A 22427-nucleotide genomic window follows, 5' to 3' on the forward strand; every position below is an offset into this window, starting at 1 on the left:
GCAGGGGAAGGCTTCTATCCAAGTTGTAAAGGTATCAACACAGACCAACAAGTATTAAAATCCCTTTGACTTAGGCATACGGGTGAAGTCTAACTGCCAGTCCTCTCTGGGATAGTGACCTATTCCTTGTTCCCCCAGAGGGGCCTTATGATGGACCAAGGGATTATTCCTTTGGCACATCTCACAGGCTTTGACTACTTTGTTGGATGGTCCAGAGGAGATTTGGTGCTGAAAACAGGGATTTGGCCATTTGACGAGTGTTCTCAAGACCCATGTGAAAAGTTTGGTGGAGGGTTTTAAGTATTTTCCACTGGCTGGCTTCAGGTATGAGTACCTTTCCCTCTTCCATCATTAACCACCCCGAGGGGAGAAAACTATGCCCTCATGAAAGTCCCCATTCTGTTTCAGTCAGGGAATACTGGGGCTTCATCTCTTGGAGAGGGTTGTTCCATACCAAGGGTCCTCCCATGGGAATTTCTAATGGAAGGTTCCATCTGGCACCAAATTTGGCCTCAGTGTTTGCCCAACAGTTTCCTTCTGCCTTTTCTCCTTTACTTTTTTGATGGCTTTGGCAGTGTAAGACTGCCACCTCCTTGGGTTTTTGCCCTGCATGCAATAACTCCATGATTTCCTTGTGGTATTTAATGGGGGTTCCCCCAGAGGTTAGGAACTCCCTTTCTTTCCACATTGCAGCATAGGTATATAGGATTACATAAGCATACTTGCTATCTGTATACACATTTATTCTCTTTCCCTTTCCCAGTTCTAAGGTTTGGGTAAGTGCCACTAGTTCTGCTAACTGAGCTCTGGTCCCTGGGAAAAGAGGCTTACTTTCAATTACTGTTACATCACTAACTATGACATAACCTGCCCTACATATCCCATTCTGCACAAATGAACTTCCATCAGTATATAGGTTAAGGTCAGCATTAGCGAAGGGGACTTCTAAGAGATCCTCTCAGGTGGCATAAGTCTGGACTATAATTTGTTGGCAGTCATGCTTGATTGGTTCCCCATCCTGTGGGAGAAAAGTGGCAGGGTTGAGGGCTGCACATATGCATATTTGAAGCACCAGTCCCTCAAGGAGTAGTGCCTGGTATCTGAGCAGGCAGTTGTCTGATAGCCATAAACTTCCTTTGACACCTAGTATGCCATTTACATCATGTGTAGTCCAGACGGTGAGATCCTTTCCTTGTATTATTTTGATAGCCTCTGATACTAAGATGTCCACCACCACAACTACCTGTAAACAGTGAGGCCAGCTTTTTGCTACTACATCAATTTCCTTACTTAAGTATGCCACTGGTTGTGGGGTTGTCCCATGAGTCTGAGTAAGGACTCCACAAGCTATTCCTGCTCTCTCTGTGATGTATAAAGAGAAGTATTGTCCTGTAGGAAGGCTTAAAGCTGGAGCTTGTACTAGGGTCTTCTTTAAGGTCTTGAAGGCTGTTTCTGCCTCTGGTTCCCATTCTACTAGATGAGCATTTGCCCTATGGGTCTCCTTGATTAGAGTATGGACTGCCCTGGCCATCTCGCTGTATTCGGGGATCCATAGTCAGCAAAAGCCTGTGATTCCAAGGAACCTCAACAACTGTTTTAATGTCTTAGAGTGAGAATAAGCCAGTATAGGCTGTATTCATTCCTTGTTGGTGGCCCTTGTTCCTCTGGCTAAGATTAGGCCTAGATATTTGACTTGTCGTAGGCAGAGTTGTGCCTTCAATTTAGACACCTTGTACTCTTGATTAGCTAGAAAATTTAAGAGATCTAGGCTAGCCTGCTGGTATGAGGCTTCCAAACTGGTAGCCAAAAGTAAATCATTTATATACTGAAGGACTAGAGTGCCTGGACTTCAGAAGTGGCCTAAATCTTGGGCCAGTACCTGACCAAACAGATGAGGGCTATCCCTAAACCCTTGGGGCAAGACTGTCCATGTAAGTTGGGACATGTGGTCTGTGGGATCCTCAAAGGCAAAGAGAAACTGAAAGTCAGAGTGCAGGGGAATACAGAAGAAGGCATCCTTGAGGTCCAGAACCATGAACCATTCTGCTTCCTCTGGTATTTCAGGGAGCAGAGTATAGGGGTTAGGTATAACTGGATATAGAGGAATTACTGTCTCATTGAAGAGTCTAAGATCTTGCACTAGTCAACTGACCGTTCAGTTTTTGTACCCTAGAATTGGGGTGTTGCAGGGACTGCTGCATTTTCTTACTAAGCCTTGAGCTTTTAAATGTCTAACAATACCCTGTAATCCTTTATGAGCTTCAGGCTTTAAGGGATATTGCCTTTGATAAGGAAAAGTGGTGGGGTCTTTTATTCTGATTTGGACTGGGTGGACACTTTTTTTCCCTTCTGAATTGTCCTTCCAGTGCCCAGACTTCAGGGTTGATTCCCTCCTCAAGCAGGAGACAACAAATGGGTAACTTGTTCCCCATATTCATGCAGATAATAGCTCCAGCTTTGGCTAATATGTCCCTCCCTAATAAGGGTGTGGGACTTTCAAGCATAACAAGAAAGGCATGTGAAAAGAGCAAAGTCTCCCAGTTACAACTAAGGAGGTGGGAGAAATACCTGGTTACAGGCTGTCCCAGGATTCCGTGGATGGTAATGGACCTACAGGACAGCTGTCAGGAACAGGAGACTAACACTGAGAAAGCCATGCCAGTGTCCAGGAAGAAGTCAATTTCCTGGCCCTCATTGGTTAAATGTACCAGGGCTCAGTGAGGGTGAGGACATGAGTTGGTGCTTGCCCCAGGCACCCTCAGTTCTGTTGTTGGATCATCTGGTTGGGGCTTCTGGCCCAGAGAACCTTTGACCTCTGGGGCAGTGTGCCTTCCAGTGATTGCCTCGGTATAGTGGACATGGATGAGGGGTCAGCTTGCTTATCATTGGACAATCTTTTTTAAAGTGTCATTGCAAACCACACTGATAACAAGCCCCACCAGGTGGTTGGCCTGCTCCATTCTCTGTCCTCTTTGAGCCACCAAGGTTTGTTTGTCTGAGGACCATGAATAAGGCTGCAGCCTTTCTCTGATATTGTTTTCTTTTTGGCCTATTCTTCTTGGTCCCTACTATAGAACACTGAGGTTGCCAGGTTTAATAATGCCTCCAGATTTTGTTCATGGCCCAGGACTCACTTTTGGAGCTTTCTCCTGATATCTGTGGCTGACTGGGTAATAAACTTACCTTTTAGGATCAATTGACCTTTGAGGGAGTCAGGTGTCAGGGGAGTATATTTTCTTAGGGCCCCCCATAGCTGCTCAAGGAAGGCGGAAAGATTTTCTTCCTTTCCCTGAGTTATGGTGGACATCATTGACTAATTCATGGGCTTTTTCATAATTCTCCTTAGTCCTTCTAGAACAAAAGTCAACATATGTTTATGACTCTAGTCCCCATGATCCGAGTCTAGGTCCCAGTGGGGATTCATACTGCAGATGGCTTGCTGACTGGTAGGGAATTTGTCCCTTTCTTTGGCTGTAATTCTATCATTTACTTGACTAAGATATCAAATATCTCCAAGCTCTCAGGCTGCAGCTAAAGTCACATTCTTTTCATTAAAGGCCAGGGTTTGATCTAACAATATCATGACATCTCTCCAAATGAGGTCAAAGGTTTGCCCTAGACCCTGTAGGATATCTATGTACCTATCAGGATCATCTGAAAACTTCCCCAGGTCTGCCTTGATCTGCTTTAAATCAGAGAGGGAGAAGGGGACATGTACCTGGGTTGGGCCAAATTCCCCTCCCCCTACAGCTTGAAGGGGACATAACCAATAGCCCAGGGGTTTTTGTGGTCCCTTGGAGATTTATTTGCTTGTTTCCTTCTGGGTGGGGAGACTAGAGGAGCCTTATCATTAATAGGAAGGGGATCTGTAAGGAGGCTAGGATATGGAGGTAAGTTGAGAGTTCCTCCTGTGGGATGTAAATTGCAAGTTTGCATAGTTGTGGATTATCCTTCAATAAAAGAAAGCTTGGACATGAGGTATTTCACTCCATTTGCCTTCCCACTTACAGAAAAGGTTAAGCTGCAGGATAGTATTGTAATTTATACTTCCCTCAGGCGACCATTTTTTCACATCAGAGAGAATATTGGGGCCAGGACGTAGTGCAGAGAAAAATGAGCCATATCTTTTTCAGAGTTTGTGGGTCAAATTGGTCCCAATGGCTTAGGATGCATTTCAAGGGTGAGCCTGTTGATGCCTGAGTGTTTCCCATCTGAAAGAAAAAACTGCCCACCATTTTGGTTTGTTTGTCTCCCCCTCACTGGCCCTAGAACCCACAATGGTCCCTGGACCCTGCTATTCAGAATAGTTGTGCTCACTGAAGCAGCAGCAGAAACACTGGTTTTCCTCGTAGACCACAAAGAGGACCAAGGAAGGTGGGATTTAGTGGCCCTTACCGACACATTCTCAAAAATCTGCACCCTTGCCTTTCCTCTCAGACCACAAAGAGGACCAAGAAAAATCAGATTTAGTGGTCCTTACCAACACATTCTCAAAAACCTATTAGAGTCCCAAGCATTTTCTCCTGTTAGTATTGGGACCTTACCTCTGTCCTATAAAGATGATATGCCCCAAAAATGGAGTGGAGGGCCACACCCTAAGGGAGGGAAGGGATCTCCAGGATCCCTTCAGGATTCCAAGGGATCTTCCCTTGGAAGAGTGACACCTTTTGTCCTCACTTCTCATCACATGAATAGGAAGGATATCATTTCTGAGGCTCCCCATATCCTAGCTTCAGAAATAGCCTTTGTTAGGCCTGCTAGTCTGAGGAGGGATCCTAAAATTCCAGATAGTCTCCCCCAACTCCCAGTGGGGCTTTGGGCAAAAACTAAGTCTTTCTGATTGGTGAGCCTGGGTGCCTAAAGAAAGGAATAGAGTCCCAAAATTTATACTAGAAATCATTCTTATAGGAGAAACTAGAAAAGCACCAGAGACAGGGAGTGGTTTTTAGAAGCGGGACTAGCCTCGGAAAAGAGAGGCAGGAGGAAATTTGTCTGAAAAGCATTAGGACCCAGGAGGCAAGGGTCAAGTTAGATAGGATAGATGGGCAAGTCTTGCTTAGATGACTTGACTTTGAGAGCTCTGCTCATGGCTATAGGGTCAACCAACATTTTATCAGGACCCTGGAGCTGAATGGCTTTCCTTTCTGTTGACACTCAGTTCAGCCCAGAAGTACAGGAAAAGTTTAAGCTGTTTCCAGGCAAACCAATGCTACCAACTCCGAAGAGTCAGGAATAGTTAGAGAGCTCTTTCCCAGAAAGCCTGACACCCATGTCTTTAGTCCTGCAGCCATGCTAGTCATTTTTAGCCGGCTGATAGGTGCCCGGTGTTTAGCCCCCAAATTCTGAGGAAAAATAGGAGAAAATAGCAAGCAAAATGGGTCCAATTGTACTCACCACTTGGAAATATTCCAGATGAGCCCCCAAGATGTGTCTGGAGTTGGTTCCTTCTGGTGGGTTCGTGGTCTCACTGACTTCAAGAATGGAGCCATGGACCTTTGCAGTGAGTGTTACAGCTCTTAAAGATGGCATGGACCTGAAGAGTGAGCAGCAGCAAGATTTATTGTGAAGAGCTAAAGAACAAAGCTTCCATAGTGTGGAAGGGGACAAGAGGGTTGCCACTGCTGGCTGGGGTGGCCAGCTTTTATTCCCTTATTTGTCCCTGCCCATGTCCTGCTGATTGGTTCATTTTACAGAGCACTTATTCGTCCAATTTACAGTGTGCTGATTGGTCTATTTTACAAACCTCTAGCCACAGAGCACTGATTGGTGCATTTTTACAGAGTGCTGATTAGTGCATTTTATAATCCTCTTGTAAGACAGAAAAGTTCTCCAAGTCCCCACCCAACCCAGAAGTCCAGCTAGCTTCACCTCTCAGCATCTGGTGGTCTGCTGGTGGCAGATCCTGTACGTGCCCTAAATACAAAAAGGAAGGACTCTGTGCAGGCTGTCTTGAATAGGGATTGCCTAAGCACTGGGAGAAGCAGAGTTTGCAGACAGGAAAGGAGCAGGAGGGCAGAGGTGGAAGATCTAGGAAGCATCAGCAAGATAAACCTTTGAAATATTAGTGTATCATTGTGGAAAACAAGACCCATCTCCTTGGTGAAAAAACCAGGAAAGTCCAGGGATGAAGGCAGAAGTCATCCAGAACCATGTTTATGGTTCCCAGAAATGCTGGGGAAATAATTTTATTTTAAAAAGGAAATTCAGGCCAGGCGCAGTGGCTCCCACCTGGAATCCCAGCACTTTGGGAGGCTGAAGCGGGCAGATCACGAGGTCAGGAGATCGAGACCATCCTGGCTAACACGGTGAAACCCCGTCTCTACTAAACAAAATACAAAAAATTAGCCAGGCGTGGTGGTGGGTGCCTGTAGTCCCAGCTACTTGGGAGGCTGAGGCAGGGGAATGGCATGAACCTAGGAGGTGGAGCTTGCAGTGAGCCAAGATCTTGCCACTGTACTCCAGCCTGGTGACAGAGTGAGACTCCGTCTAAAAAAAAAAAAAAAAAAAAAAAAAAAGGAAATTCAGTGTAGCCCTCTTTATAAGACAGTTAAACTAAAATCAGCTAATTACATTTTCCAAAATGACACACTTTGACCTTTGAGATGCTCTGAGAGTCTCCTCTGAGAATCAGAGAAGATATGTTAACTAGGAAGCCATCCATCAGTGTGGAAGGATGGATTGCTAGAAATTTACTCTGGCCTGATCTTACATGCTGAGGTGAACTCTGGCAAGGCTGAGTATCCCTAATCTGAAAATCTGAAATCTGAAGTGCTCCAAAATCCAACACTTTTTGAGAGCTGACATGATGCTCAAAGAAAATGTTTATTAGAGCATTTCAGTTTTATTTTTATTTTTTGGATTAGTGAAGTTCAACTGTTGTAACTGCAAATATTGCAAAATCCAAAAAGAAAGCTAAAATTCAAAACACTTCTGATCCCAAGCATTTTGCATAAGGGATACTTAACCTTAGTCCCAGAAAATCCAACTCATTCCAATATGAGTGACAACAAAAGGAATAAACAAGCATCAATAAAAGTTACAATACAAAATTTTCTATAAATGAGGAAGACTCACCAAAAAAAAAAAAAAAAAATCACAAAGCAGATGAACACTGTAGCCCTCTTAATGAAAGATCAAAGCATGAAGGAAGGTTATAGGACAGAAATAAAAGAATTTGGAGAAAAGATGCTCAAAGACCAGGGATGATCTCTATTAAAAAAACATGATAAAATAGGAAATGGCACAATTTCAGAAAAATAGACACCAAAATCACTTCAGAAATGAAGAAAAATTATAAGGAACTCAATGGGGAATAGATCCTATGAGAGTCCAGTAAGAAATTTGTGAAAAAAAAAATTGATAAAGAACAAAATAAAATGAAAATGAAGTCAGAGAAAGAAGGAAAAAATTGGGAGAAAATAAAAAATATAGATCATAGATATATACAATCCAAACTAGCATAAGTACAGAGTCCTGAAAAGAAAAACAATGAATCTGAAATTTTAAAAAAATTCAAGAAAAAAATTATGAAATTAAAACAAAAAAGGCTTGGTTCTTCATATTGCAATGACTCATTATCTGTAGAGGAAAATTAACCTAAATGTCAACACTAATACATACGCTACAAAGGTAATAAATTTTAAAGATAAAGAAATAATGCATATGTCAGATACTTAAAGAGATCAAGTCACTTAAGAAGAAAATCAGTTTGGCATGAGGCTTTCACAAGAACATTCAATACTGGAGGACATTGAAGCTACACACTGACTATTCAAGAAAACGAAGTATTATCCAACCTGCCCTTTAAGTAGAACAGCTGTAAACAGTTGTGAACAGTAAGAGTTAGAAAACATTGTTTACAAGAGTCTTGAGGAAACTAGTACAAGATGAACTTTAGCCAAGCAAGAGATGACTAATAAAAACTTAGCAAAAAGATTTATGATTAATACCTTCAGAAAGTTTTATAATTAAACAGTAAAATACTCTGGTGGAAGAAACATCTGTGAATAAATGAGAATTAGCTGATATTCTTCTGTTTTATGCCTTTGCATATAATAAGAGTGGGGAGCAAGTACATAACAACGTAACACCTGTTAGGGAGGGGTCAGAAGTTCTACTACTAACCAGCTATGAAATGTTGCTGACATACTCACTATCCTAAGCTTTGGAATTTTTATCTTATGTGTGAACAAATTTAGAATCTGATATGCCAGAGTAATTAAAATTAAAGGTCGAATGCTTAGCTTTGGGACAAGAAAGACCATATATAGTGAAACAACAAATGGACCAGAAAACTACAAACTATAGTACTTGTCCCATCTACAAGACTCAGAAGTCAAATGTTGATCACTTTCTTTGTCTCTGTTTTCTCATTGTAAATTGTGAAGAAATTGACAATAACATGGTCTTATTTTTATGCTTTTCTTTGTATATTATTTTGTTATTGTTACCACAAAGACTGAAATAACAAACTTTTGTTTACTCATTCAATATTTATTTAGCACGTACTATATGTCATGAACAGTTCTAGTGAATAATCAAAGACAAAATCTCTACTCTTATAAACCTTATATTTTAGTTAGGGCTAGGGAAAAGAAAATAAGCCATAAGCATTATAAACAAATAAATTCCATAGTGTGTTACAAGACAGTAAGTATTACAGAAACAAATGAAGCAGATTAAGAAGGGCAAGGAATGTTGGGGGAATAATTTTGTTTTTAAAAGGAAATTTAGTGTAGGCCTCATTATAAGACAGTTAAACAAAAATTAGTTAATCACATTTCCAAAAATGAAGACACTTTGACCTTTGAGATGTTCTAGAAAAATTTTCAAATTATGTCTCCTTTATGAAAAATTAGACTATTGATTTGACGTTGTATTTTCTCTGTCAGAATTAACCCACGATTTTCGCCAAGTCTCTTATTTTACTATGCCAATACATTGACTCTGATTTTAAGTATATTTGTTTCTTTTATATTTTCTACTTAGATAAATTTTGTTATTCTTTTTCTAACTTCCTGTGCTAAAACTTCTCTTGCTTTCTTTTTCATTTTTTCCGTTTAATAGCAGCTTATAAAACTGTAAATTTCATTTGAGTAGTTTTTATCATATCTCATACATTTTTATAAAGAATGTACTAATTATTTTTTTATAATTGTAATTTAATTTTTTTATTATACCCAAGAGTTATTTAGGATAGAGCTTTTCTTTTAATTTCCAAGACTTTGTGTTTACTTTAGTTATTAATTTCTGGTTTGTTACATTGTGGTCAGCAAAAAGATATTTGGATTATTTTGTATTTTGTTTCTATTAAACTTTTCTTCATCATCTCATATGTAGTAAATTTCAGTAAGTTATATCTAGAAACTTGAAAATGAAACATATTCCTGTCAGTACAAAACAGATTTTTATGTGTGGATATATGACTACTGTTCGTATGACTATGTTTTTGTGAATTTTTGCATGTCTCCAATAGTTGGTGTGATATTTATTTAAATAATGAGTTTGTCTCAATGTAGGTTCTGTTTTTGACTAGTATAAAGACAATCCTTTGCATGTGAATAAAAAATAATTTAGCACAGAAGTGGAAGACAACAAGTCGATATGAAATCTGAGTTGGCAGAACTCACACTCATACACACACACACACACACAAATAGACCAAAAACACACAAACACATAAGAGAAATAACAACATTGGAAGGAGTAAAAAGAGGCTAAACACTGGAAAAGATAATAAAGGATAATGAGAGGGAAATTTTTAATGGAATTTTTAAAAATTTCTAAAGTAAATATATACTGTTAAACAAGCATCAACATTGACATAATTAAAATTCCCTAAGGAAAGTAAAATCAGCTATACGTACATGAAAGCCACTATCAGATTAGGTATTCATGCATTCCGATTTAACAAAGAAAACCCTGGGTTACACCTGTTTTTCTAGTGTCCTGTGCAGTTATTGTTCTATTCCCTATAAATAGTGTATTTTTCTTGAAGACATATTACCAAGTCACCCTAAGAATGAAGGGAAAAGTCACCTTGGCTTCAGATTTCTACATAGCAACATTCATTATTAGAAGATGGTTGAGCAACATTTACAAGGTACCCAAGTTATAAAGTTTGACGTTTACATCCAGCCAAATTTTACCTCTGTTATAAACACTGCAACTAAACGTTTGAATGCATACTAACTCTGGTAATTTGGCACTCATGAGATTTTCTTGAAAAAATTACTAAATATCTAACATTAGCCAATTAAATATGACTAGAGAAATTCACAAAAAAGACTAGGAATAAGGATTTAAAATATTTAACTGCAGAAGACCAAAAAAGGGTAGGACAAAGGTGGTGACAAATTATAATATAACTTTTTACATGGAAAGAATATGGTTCTTAACACTTTAGAAGCAGAAGGGAAAAAGATAGGACAGAATAAGTTTGCAGTTTGCATTTCAAGAACTAGAGGCAACAAAATATCATTAAAAATAAACAAGTAATAAGAGTTTTAGCAAATTGATAAATAAATCAAGGAATAAGAGTATTAGCATATTTAAGAGAAAAAGTATATTTAAGGAAATGCATACTGTTGATTAAAATTGAATCATGAAGAAGAGGAGTGGAGAGGTAGAGAACAATAGAAAACTTTCTAACTATAATAAGAAACACGAGAACACATGGACACATGGAGGGGAATAACACACACTGGGGGCTGTTTTGGGGTGGAGGGCTGGGGGAGGAAGAGCATCAGGAAGAATAGCTAATGGATGCTGGGCTTAATACCTGGGTGATGGGTTGATCTGTGCAGCAAACCACCATGGCACACATTTACCCATGTAACAAACCTGCACATCTTGTACATGTACCCTGGAACTTAAAATAAAAGTTGAAGAAAAACAAAATCACAAAAACGAACAATAAATAAAAACCAACCATGAAGAAAAAAAAAACTTTACAAGCCATCTAAAAAGAAAACATCACATATGACAAAATTAAAACCCATATATGTCATAGCATTAAATATAAATGAGTTTGACCTATTAAAGAAAGAAATGTTCTGCTTAGATTATAATGCAAACACCAACTTTGGATATTTACAAGAGACACATGCAAAATAAAATGATTTTCTAAGTCTGAAAATAAAAGAAGTGTCAACTGTAAACTAAAAAATAATATCAATATCACAAGCTCAACATAAAATTACATGGATTTCGACCTCAAATTATTAAAGGAGACCAAAAGGGCACTTTGTAACGCTAAAAGTTGCAACTCATAATGAATATATTACAGTTATAAATATACAATTATGTATTGAATAAGCAAAAATTATATGTCAGAAATGATAGGAGAGACAGTAGCAGTAAGATTTTAATTTACTCTTCATTATATTACATATGAAATTAGAGAAAAATAAACATAGAATATGAATAATGTAATTACTAAGATTACTCTGATGTATATAAGTTTTGGTGGCAGAAAATAGGGAATACATCATTTTTTTTTTCAAATACCCATAGAACAGTAACATTCAATGACCACTGAGAAGGTGAGAAGACTATAGAATATGATCAATAAGGTATGTCTGATTGATATGTACAAATTCTGGGCAGAGGAAAAAAAAATCAGTCCGTGCTTATACAATTTAACATATATAATTCTTGAATTGAATAAGATATGACCAGACATGCCAAGATACAGAACCAAATAATTTAAAAACAAAAGGAAAAAATGACACAGAGACAGACCCAACAGTGGTTCAAGTATTGAAATTATTAGACATTAACTTTAAATAACTATGCTTAATATATTTGAGTATATATGAAAAGTGAAGAATTTTAGCATAGAATTAGAATATATGGAGAAAATTTAATTAACATTATAGAAATTTAAAACACAGTAACTAAATAAGCATTTAATAGATGAATTTAAAGCCAAATGAGACATAGCAGAAACTATGACTAATATAGCTAAAACATGGAAAATACATAAAAGATATATAATGAATGGAGAGTTTTTGGAGCCCCAGAAACTTTGAAGACAGAAGGAATAAAGAAAACTAGCCATGCATTTTTCAAAACTGATGGGAGCCATCAAGTCAAAGTTTCAGGAAACTCTTCATACTTCAAGAGGGGAAAAATAAGAAGAAAAAAAAGTAGGGGAAGAAAGAAAAACAAAATCATACTCTAGCCACATTCTCTGAGCCATGGAATAGGTAGTGTCTGGGAGGGAGCCTGAGTGAAATGTCCGGGATGTTATTAATATTCTATATCTTAACCTAGGTGGTAGTTGTACAGGTATTATCACTGTGTAAAAATTCATATAGCTTAAGATGTGTGCATTTTACAGTATGTATGTTACACTTCAATTTAAAAGTTTAAAGAATAGTTCTAAATTTTTGTTTCTTATTTAGCAAGCTATCCCTCCCTTCACTATGTCCTGGCCATAATGGACTTTATAGAAGAAGGCAAGATAAACAACACATTGGGAAAAACAGAATGTAACATCAGATATGAACTGAACAGTAAAATCCTGTCTCTTCTTACCTGGCATATTTCACTTTAAAAGAAAGACAGGAGGAGTCACGAGTGGTTATAGTATTTGTTCCTGTTTTCACCCTTTGCTAGTAGAACTCCAAAGAGGAATGTCCAGAAAAATATATTAAACAAGGTTTAGAAAGCTCAAGACCATTGGCAAGATATTAGATGCTGCTAGAATTTTGTCCCTGGCATGTTTGGGCAGCTTAAACTCCCTGGGAAAATTCCCTCATATGATTAGTATTAACCTACTACAGGATAGTACTGCTGCTATAGCTTTGGAAGATGTACAGACCTGGAAGCAGCCCTCCAAGCTCCTCGTTACCTATGCAGTATGTGCAGGAGACCCATAAGTTTCCACAACCACCAATGAGAGATTGTGAGCACTGCAGGAGCACTTCAAGGAGAGCAATGAGAGACATCGTGGCATGACAAAGTGGCTTCTGTGTGTGAGATTTACTATTCAGGGTATACACTTTTGTAGGGCATCCAGTAGTCACTCCCCAAAGCCAGAAGTCATCAGTAGCATCAGTCATACTTCAGCTTGCACCAGCACAAAAAGCAGAACCAAATTAGCCACTCTTCAGCAGCAATTAGTGAGTGTAGAAGGGGTAAGCAATAATCTGAAGCTTCCTTCTGCCTTTCCTGCTTATGGACAAAACAATCCCTCTTAGATTTCTACACTCCAACATGCAAAGAGGGAGGGGGTCGGGATGAAACTGTAAGAGACTAAGCATTCATCTAAAAGGGCCTGAATAATCTTAAAAAGCAAAGTCAGCACCAATAAAGAATTTAATTTTGAATAGAATGAATATTTTAAATACTTATAAACCTTAGTAAAATATAAGGAAGTGACACTATATGAACTTACACGTGAGAAAAATCAGGTCACCATAGGAAATAAAGATGTATGTATTTTTGGCACATCAGAGCATAGGGCATCAATTTATGACAGTTAATGATCAATTTATGACATCGAAGAAACCAATTAAGTAGCAGATACCATTTTATACCTTCTAAACTAACAAAAATCTAAAAAATGATTATTCCAAATACTGGCAAAATTATGGTAAAATCATTGCACATATATACCGGTGATGGAATAAATTAGAACACAATTTGGAAAAAGAAAAGTTATATATTACAAGTAGATACATGACAATATGTCCTGAGGAAATATTTCATGAGAATCTACTGCAGTGTTATTTATGAAATAAAATGAATGAGAGCAATGTAAATGGCCAAAATGAACAAATAATTAAATAAATTCTGGTACCTCAACTCTATGAAATGTTAGCCATTAAAAATGTATAATTATTAAAAGCTGCATTGATATATAAAAAGTACTTAGTGGAAAAAGAAAATAGATAAAAATAAAGTTGTATATTGTACTAAAGCTCATAAGTATTTAAAAATTCTGTATTTTATTAAAGCCTAGAACAAAAATGGAAAAATAAAAATTGTTTAACCACAGAGGGTGAGAAGATACATTATAAATACAAAATAAGAGCCAGTCATAGTTATGAAAAATCAGACTGACTTCATGCCTGAGTCTCTCTCATTGGCTGCCCGCTCTCCAAGATCAGCAGCGCAGAGGCGTTATGAATCCAGGGCTTGATTCTTGGCTTCTCTACCCCACTAACCAGGGGACCTCAGGCAGTTTACTTAACCCCACTTTGCCCTAGTTTCCTCATCTATAAAACGGGATTATGGTAATACCTAACAGTGTGGTTGAGAAGCTTAGATAACTTCTTCTATTAAAGCACTTAGAAAATAATCTCAGCAATCCATTAGCATTCTGAGTTAACTGTTCTTGTTTTCCTTCGTTGGATGATATGAGCAATACATCACGGTTCCTAAACAAAGCATGTGGCAAATACTGAATCATTCTTGAACTGAATTAGCTTTATAATGTAATGAAAGAATGTGAGTGCATCTGTCTTTTTGTTTTGATTCCTTTTGTTTGTTTGCAGTATAGTTAACGTGTACAATCTTTTCTGTTGGTATTGAATGGGTAATTTTGGTAGCAGACAAATTGAGTTATTTAAATAAGAATGTTCTTCTTAGCAGTGTCTTAAAGGCAAAATAAATACTGAGTCCATGCAGCTGACTGATATTCAGACAAAATGTTTAAGTATCTATATTTCCCACTTTTCAACATATGTTGTAGTAGTTGTCATCATGCAAACAGACTTGGTATGTTTCACCTCAATTTGCATTAGCTACATTTGCCGAAGAGTTAGAATCAGTGGTCTCTGAATTTCCCACAGAAGCAATGAAGACCACAATCAGTTATTTCACGCTGGAACATAAAATTTTATAGGTTCTTTTACTCTCCAGTCATCCTATGTGTGTACAAAATTAACAGAGGAATATACTTAAAGTTTTATGCTTTTCTAAGTTATTTTTTATAACTTAATCTTTACAAGTAAAAAACAAATACCCAAGAGAATAATTATTTGAATGTAAAATAATCAAAATATATTCTAGTCTTTCTCTTCCCTCTAAATGTTCTTCTTTCTCTTCCCCTTATGTAACCATAACTCACCTCCACTTTTCCCTTGCTCTTTTGCCTTTTTTTCTATTTGTGTCCTCTTTTAGACTCTGAGCACAAGAATTGATATAAGTTGTCTGTCTATGTGGATTCTTCCATAGACAGTACATGAGATGGGACTCCATCAATAAAGGCTCAGTAACACAACACCCCACTCTCAGTAGCTTTAAACAAAAATGTATTTCTCATTCTCACTCCTTATCCATCTTGAGATAGCTGTGGCTCTGCACCATGTCCTCCTCATCCTGGGAACGAGGCTAAGACAGTCAACCATTGCCTGAAGTCAACACACCAGGAAGAAAGGCAGAAGCAAGTCACACACCAGCTCTTAAAACCTTCTTCCAGAATTGACCCATATGGGCCAGGCATGGTGGATCACACTTGTAATCTCAGCACTTTGGGAGGCCAAGGTGGGAGAATCACTTGAGGCCAGGAGTTTAAGACCAGCCTGGGCAACATATCAAGACTGTCTCTATAAAAAATAAAAACAAAAATAAATTAGATGGGCATGGTGATGCATGCCTGTAGTCCCAGCTACTCAGGAGGCTGAGGCAGAAAGATTGCTTAAGTCCAGGAGTTCTTGGTTTCAGTGGGCTATGATTACACCATTATACTCCAGTCTTACAAAAGAGCAAGACCCTGTTTCTTTCTAAAAAGAGAAAAGAAAGAGAGAGAGAGAAAGAGAAGTGACCCATATAACTTCTTATGCTTCATTGACCAAAGCAAGTCACAAGGCCACAATTAATTTCAAAGAGCTGGAGACTGCCATTCCACTGATCTCAGAAACCAGAAAGGCAAATATTTTTTAGACAGCATTACTGACTACTACAAAGAACAAACCAAAAAGTTAGAGCATGTGATCCATTACAGCTGATCATACGTATCAGTACATACATACATATCAGTAACAAAAAGTTTGATCCTTCCTAGTACTATTGACCAAATATTTTAGGGTAATATTCATTTTTTTATTTAAAGTTAATTTTTTCTATAATATTCCCTTCTTTTATATTATTTCATATTACATAATTTAGGTTTATGAGATGAGAAATTTATAGTTCCTTCAGATATCTAAAAGAAATTTATTTTTTACTCTTCATGGAAAAAGAGTTCAGTACCAAATTATGTTTGCATGTTGGTCAGTTTGTTCGTATGGTGGGTTCATTGGTAGGTCGATTATATTTGACTTAGGTATTACCCAAAGCTTAGGAAACTATAAAATAATAGGAGGTGTGATGAGAGAGATTCCCCTGAGGCACCATAAATGTTTATCTAAAAAGAAAGCTAAATTCAGCCCAAAGCAGGGTTTAGAACTTTTATTTTATTACATGGCCATTTGGATTAAAATAATAAAAACTACCTAACCTGTTCGTTATGATTCATACTGTATTATAATTTTTCAGTAAGTGATAAAGTTCTTGTGGTCAGAGTTGAAAACCACTGAAATATATTTTACATGCAGGTGGTTTCCTTCAATAGTCAGAATTTGAGCATGCTCATCTTTGTTTTCCTTCTGAGATGAAAAGAGAGTTTGACTCTACACATAAAGGAAATAGTTTTCTAACTGACAAATTATTAATTATTGGTTTATATTGTCTCTGTTGGAGCATCCTAAACTGGAGAAATACAATTTAAGTGCTACCTTTTATTTATTTCTACTTTTACCTCACTTTTACAACTTTCTCTATGCCTGTAAGAACACTCTTCCCCAAAGATCTCAAAATAAGTACTTGAATAAAACTACAATCTAAGCATAGCTATAAAGAATGCATTTAATTTCAAGTGCTGCTATAAAGAATTTTACAAATGGCATGACAGGGTCCTTTTACTGTCCTCAATTTCATTGCATAGCTTTCCTAACAGCCCTCCTGAGAGCAAAGCTAGTCTACTCTCAATCCTTTTTATCAATTCACTCAGTTACAAAAGAAGAACTTTATCCTGACATTATGGGTATTGTTCTACTTATTTGCAGTGTCCCCATTGTTACTTTCTCTGAAATATAGTGCTGAACACAGATGCAGTTTCTGAAGAACCTGCAAGTATTGTCAGCATTAATGATGTAAGTTCAAATTTTGTCCAAGTAAGCTAAAAGAAAACAACCCATTAGCTAAAATCAAATGTGTTCTTCAATCAGCACCAGTCCTCAGACAAGTTAGAAAGTGGTATTGCTTCCCTTCTTCTGAAAATTTTCTTAATGAAAGGCCCTTAGCAGGGCTTTTACTCATCATACATCTGTCAATGCTAATTTAATTAGGTATTAGACAATTTCTTCTTTTAAGTCAGTATATTCCAAACTGGGGTTTTCAGATTTCACATATCCACAGATGATTTATAATCATTAGAAATTTTTTAATTTTGTACTTTTGTGATAATCTAAAATTTAGACAAAAATGGTGGAAGAATTGCACAATAACAAGGCAAATGTTAATCTAGGAATGACAAATTCAACAAAGCATTGGCCTTGGTTATCAGTCTTGTGCTCATCTTTCCAGCAAACAAATGCATCTTAACAAAAACAAATGATGTGTTATATTACCAAAATGTGGTTTGGGAGAATCTCAAAGAATATATACTGAGGGAAATAAAGAAGACACAAAAGCATGAACTACTCCATTTATATGAATTTCAGGAAGAAGCAAAATTAATCTCCAACTGTCAGAGGTGTTTAAACCAGAGTGACTCCATCTTGAATACATGCTGGGTAAAATAAGTCTGAGACCTACTGCACTGCATTCCCAGGAGGTTAAGGCACTCTTAATCACAAGCTGAGATAGGAGGACGACACAGGATGCCAGTCATAAAGACCTTGCTGATAAAACATCATGCGGTAAAGAAGCCAGCCAAATCTCACGAAAACCAATATGGCAACAAAAGTGACCTCCGGTCATCCTCATTGCTCATTACAAGCTAATTATAATGCATTAGCATGCTAAAAGACACTCCCACCAGTGCCATGACAGTTAACAAATACCAAGGCAATGTCAGGAATACCTTATATGGTCAAAAAGGGGGAGAAAACCTCAGTTCCAGGAATTGTCCACACCTTTCCCAGAAAACTCGTGAATAATGCATCCCTTGCTTAGCATACAATCAAGAAATAACTGTAAATATCTTTAGTCTAGCAGCCTAGGCTACTGCTCTGATTACGAAGTAGCCATTCTTTCTTGGCTACTGTTCTGATTATGAAGTAGCCATTCTTTTATTCCTTTACTTTTTTAAAATTTATTTATTTATTTTTTTAATAAAACAGAGTCTCACTCTGTCGCCCAGGCTGGAGTGCGGTGGTGCGATCTCGGCTCACTGCAACCTCAGCGTCCTGGGTTCAAGAGATTTTCCTGCCTCAGCCTCCTGAATAGCTGGGATTACAGGCTTGGCCACCATGCCCAGCTAATTTTTTTCTATTTTTAGTAGAGGTGGGGTTTCACCATGTTGGCCAGGATGGTCTCGATCTCTTGACCTCGTGATCCACCCACGTTAGCCTCCCAAAGTGCTGGGATTACAGGCGTGAGCCACCGTGACCGATCTTTTTTTCTTTTTCTTTTCTTTTTTTTTTTGAGACAAAGTCTCACTCTGTTGCCCAGACTGGGGTGCAGTGGTGCCATCTCAGCTCACTGCAACCTCTACTTCCCAGGTTCAAACAACTCTCCTGCCTCAGCCTCCCGAGTAGCTGGGTCTACAGGCACACACTGCCATGCCCGGCTAATTTCTTTTGTATTTCAGTAGATACAGGGTTTCGCCATGTTTCCCAGGCTAGTCTTGAACTCCTGAGCTCAGGCAAACCAACCACCTCTGCCTCCTAAAGTGCTAGGATTACAGGCATGAGCCACTGAGCCCGGCCTATTCCTTTACTGTCTTAATAAACTTGCTTTCACTTTACTGTATGGATTCACTTCAAATTCTTTCTTGCGTGAGATCCAGGAACCCTCTTTTGGGGTCTGGACTGTGAGCCATTTTCAGTAACAAAACTAGTGGTTACATCTGTGGCAAGGAGGTGGATGGTGGACTGTGCTGACTGAGAAAGGGAATGAGGGAGTCATCTGGGGTTTTATATAGGCGTGCCTCAGAGATATTGCAGGATCAATTCCAGGCAACTGCAATTAAACAAATAAAGTGAATCACACAAATTGTTTGTTTTCTAAATGCATATAAAAGTTTAGTAAGTGTGCAATAACATTATATCTAAAAAGTACATATTTTAATTTTAAAATACTAGCAATCATCTGAACCTTCAGCCAGTTGTAATGTTTTTACCCGTGGAAGGTCTTGTCTCAGCGTTGATGGCTGCTGACTCACAAGGGTGGTGGTCACTGATGGTTAGAGCATCTGTAGCAATTTCTGAAAATAATACACTGAGGTTTATGGCATCTATTGACTCTTCCTTTCAGAAAAGATTTCTCTGTGGCATGTGAAGCTATTTTACCCAGAGAAGAATGTGTTTCAAAATTGGAGTAAATCCTCTCAAACCCTGTTGCTGCTTTATGAACTAAGTTAACGTAATACTCTAAATCCTTTGTTTTCATTGCAACAAGTTCACACATCTTCACCTGGAATAGGTTCCATCTCAAGAAACCACTTTTTTGCTTATCCACAGGAAGCAAGTTTTCATTCATTCAAGTTTGATGATGAGATTGCAGCAATTCAGTCACATCTTCATGCTCCACTTCTCACTCTGCTTCTCTTGCTATTTCTACCACATTTGCAGTGATATCCACTGTTGAAATCTTGAACTCCTCAAAGTCGTCTGTAAAGGTTACAACTAACTCGTTCCAAATTCCTGTGCATGTGGGCATTTTGACCTCCTCTCATGAATCACTAATATTCTTAATGGCATGTAGAATGGCGAACACTTTCCAGGAGGTTTCAATTGACTTTCCCCAGACCCACCAGAGAAATCACCATCTATGGCAACTTACAGCCTTATGAAATGTATTTCTTAAATAATGAGACTTGAAAGTCAAAATTATGTTTTGATTCATGGGCTACAGAACGGTTGTTTTGTCAGCAGACATAAAAACAACATTAAACTTCTTGTACATCCAAATTAAAGCCCTTAGGGCACCAGATGCATTGTCAAAGAGCGGTAATATTGTAAAATGATTTTTTTCTCTGAGTAATGGGTCTCAACAGTGGGCTTAAAATATTTAGTAAACTATGCTTTAAACAGAAGTGCCGTCATCAAGACTTTATTGCTCCACTTATAGGGTGCAGGTAGAGTAGACTTATAATTATTAAGAGCCCTGCAATTTTTGGAATGGTAAATGAACATTGGCTTCAGCTTAGTCACCATCTAGCCCCTAAAAAGATTTAGCCTGTCTTTTGAAGCTTTGAAGCCAGGCATTGACTTCTCCTCTCTAGTGTTAAAAGTACTCAATGGCATCTTTTTCCAATAGAAGGCTGTTTTGTTCACCTTGAAAATCTGTTGTTTAGTGTAGCTACCTTCATCAATGATTTTAGCTAGATCTTCTGGATAACTTGTTGCAGCTCCTCCTACATTAGCACTTGCTGCTGTTTCACTTTGCACTTTTATGTTATGGAGACGGCTTATTTCCTTACACTTCATGGACCAACCTCTGCTAGCTTCATACTTTTCTTCTGCAGCTTCTTCACTTCTATCAGCCTTCATAGAATTAAAGAGATAGGACCTTGCTCTAAATTAGGCTTTGGCTTAAGGGAATGTGGTCACTGGTTTGATCGTCTACCCAAACTACTCAAACTTTCTCCAAATCAGCAATAAGGCTGTTTTGTTTTATCATTTGTGTATTCACTGGAGTGTAGCAAAAGTACAAAAGTGTGTAGCACTTTTAATTTCCTTTAAGAAATTTCCCCTTGAATTTATAACTTGACTAACTTTTTGACACAGGGCCTAGATTTCAACCTTTCTCGGTTTTCAACATGTCTTCCTCACTAAGCTTAATCATTTCTAGCCTTTGATTTTAAGTGAGAGACATGCAACTCTTCATTTCGCTTGAGCACTTAGAAGTCATTGTAAGATTTTTGGGTGGCCTAATTTTAACATTGTGTCTCAGGGAATAGAAAGGCTCCAAGAAGAAGGAGAGAGATAGGAAAATGACTGGACAGTCGAGCAGTCAGAGCACACACAATATTTCTTAAGTTTGCCATCTTACATGTGCGTAGTTGTAGCACCTCAAAACAATTGCAATAGTAACATCAAAAATCACTGATCACAGATCACTATAACAGATATAATAATGAAAAGGTTTTAAATATTATAAGAATTACTAAAATGTAACACAGAGACAAAGTAAAAACATGCTTTTGGAAAAATGGGACCAATAGATTTGGTTGATGCAGAGTTGCCACAAACTTTCAATTTGTAAAGAATTTTATATCTGCTAAGTGCAATAAAGTGAAGCACAATAAAACAAGGTATGCATGTAAATATTTTGCATATTGACCCATGAGGTTATTACTCAGGTGAATATAAATATAAATAAGTATAAAATTTATATAACTTTACACATGATTTATATACGTTATTGTATGTCTGTTGTCCTTCAATAAAACATTTTTTTAATTTTTTTTATTATACTTTAAGTTTTAGGGTATAATGTAACAACGTGCAGGTTAGTTACATATGTATACATGTGCCATGTTGGTGTGCTGCACCCATTAACTCGTCATTTAACATTAGGTATATCTCCTAATGCTATCCCTCCCCACTCCCCCCACCCCACAACAGGCCCTGGTGTGTGATGTTCCCCTTCCTGTGTCCATGTGTTCTCATTGTTCAATTCCCACCTATGAGTGAGAACATGTGGTGTTTGGTTTTTTGTCCTTGCGATAGTTTGCTGACAGAATTTAAAAATATATGTTTACTGCATGAATTTTGTATAATCAGATATGCAAAACATTATAATATTGGGTTAAATAAAAATCCAAATTTGGGGACTTCGTTTTAGATAGTCTTTTTATCAAATGCTTTTTTGACATCTATTGAAATAATTATATGGATTTTGTTCTTCACTCTGTTGGTATGATTTAGCACATTGATTGATTTGGAAATATTGAAACATCCTTGCAACCCTGGCACAAATCTCACTTTATCATGATGAATAATCTTTTTTAAGTGTTGTCGAATTCAATTTGCTAGTATTTTATGGAGGATTTTTGCATCCATGTTCATCAGAGATAGTGCTGTGTAGCTTTCAATTTTTGTTGTGTCTTTGGTATTGGTATCAAGGTAATACTGGCTTTGTAAATTGGGTCTGAAAATATTCTCTACTCCTTAATTTTTTGAAATAATACCTTGAGTAGGATTGGTATTTTGTTCTTTAAGTATTTGCAGAATTCATAGAAACATCATCAGATTCTGGGCTTTTGT

At 37.6% G+C, this 22427-nt stretch overlaps 1 annotated feature.

Annotated features, from left to right (window-relative positions):
* Positions 5442-5648: a silencer, noted in NCBI's record as "fragment chr6:63796218-63796424 (GRCh37/hg19 assembly coordinates)". NCBI's record gives its function as "represses an EF-1alpha promoter that drives an FKBP-Casp9 reporter gene in an ReSE screen in phorbol 12-myristate 13-acetate-treated (for megakaryocytic differentiation) K562 erythroleukemia cells {active_cell/tissue: K562(+PMA)}" and the evidence as "EXISTENCE:reporter gene assay evidence [ECO:0000049][PMID:32094911]".

This window comes from Homo sapiens, chromosome 6, assembly GCF_000001405.40.
Source record: "Homo sapiens chromosome 6, GRCh38.p14 Primary Assembly".
Taxonomy (NCBI): Eukaryota; Metazoa; Chordata; class Mammalia; order Primates; family Hominidae; genus Homo; species Homo sapiens.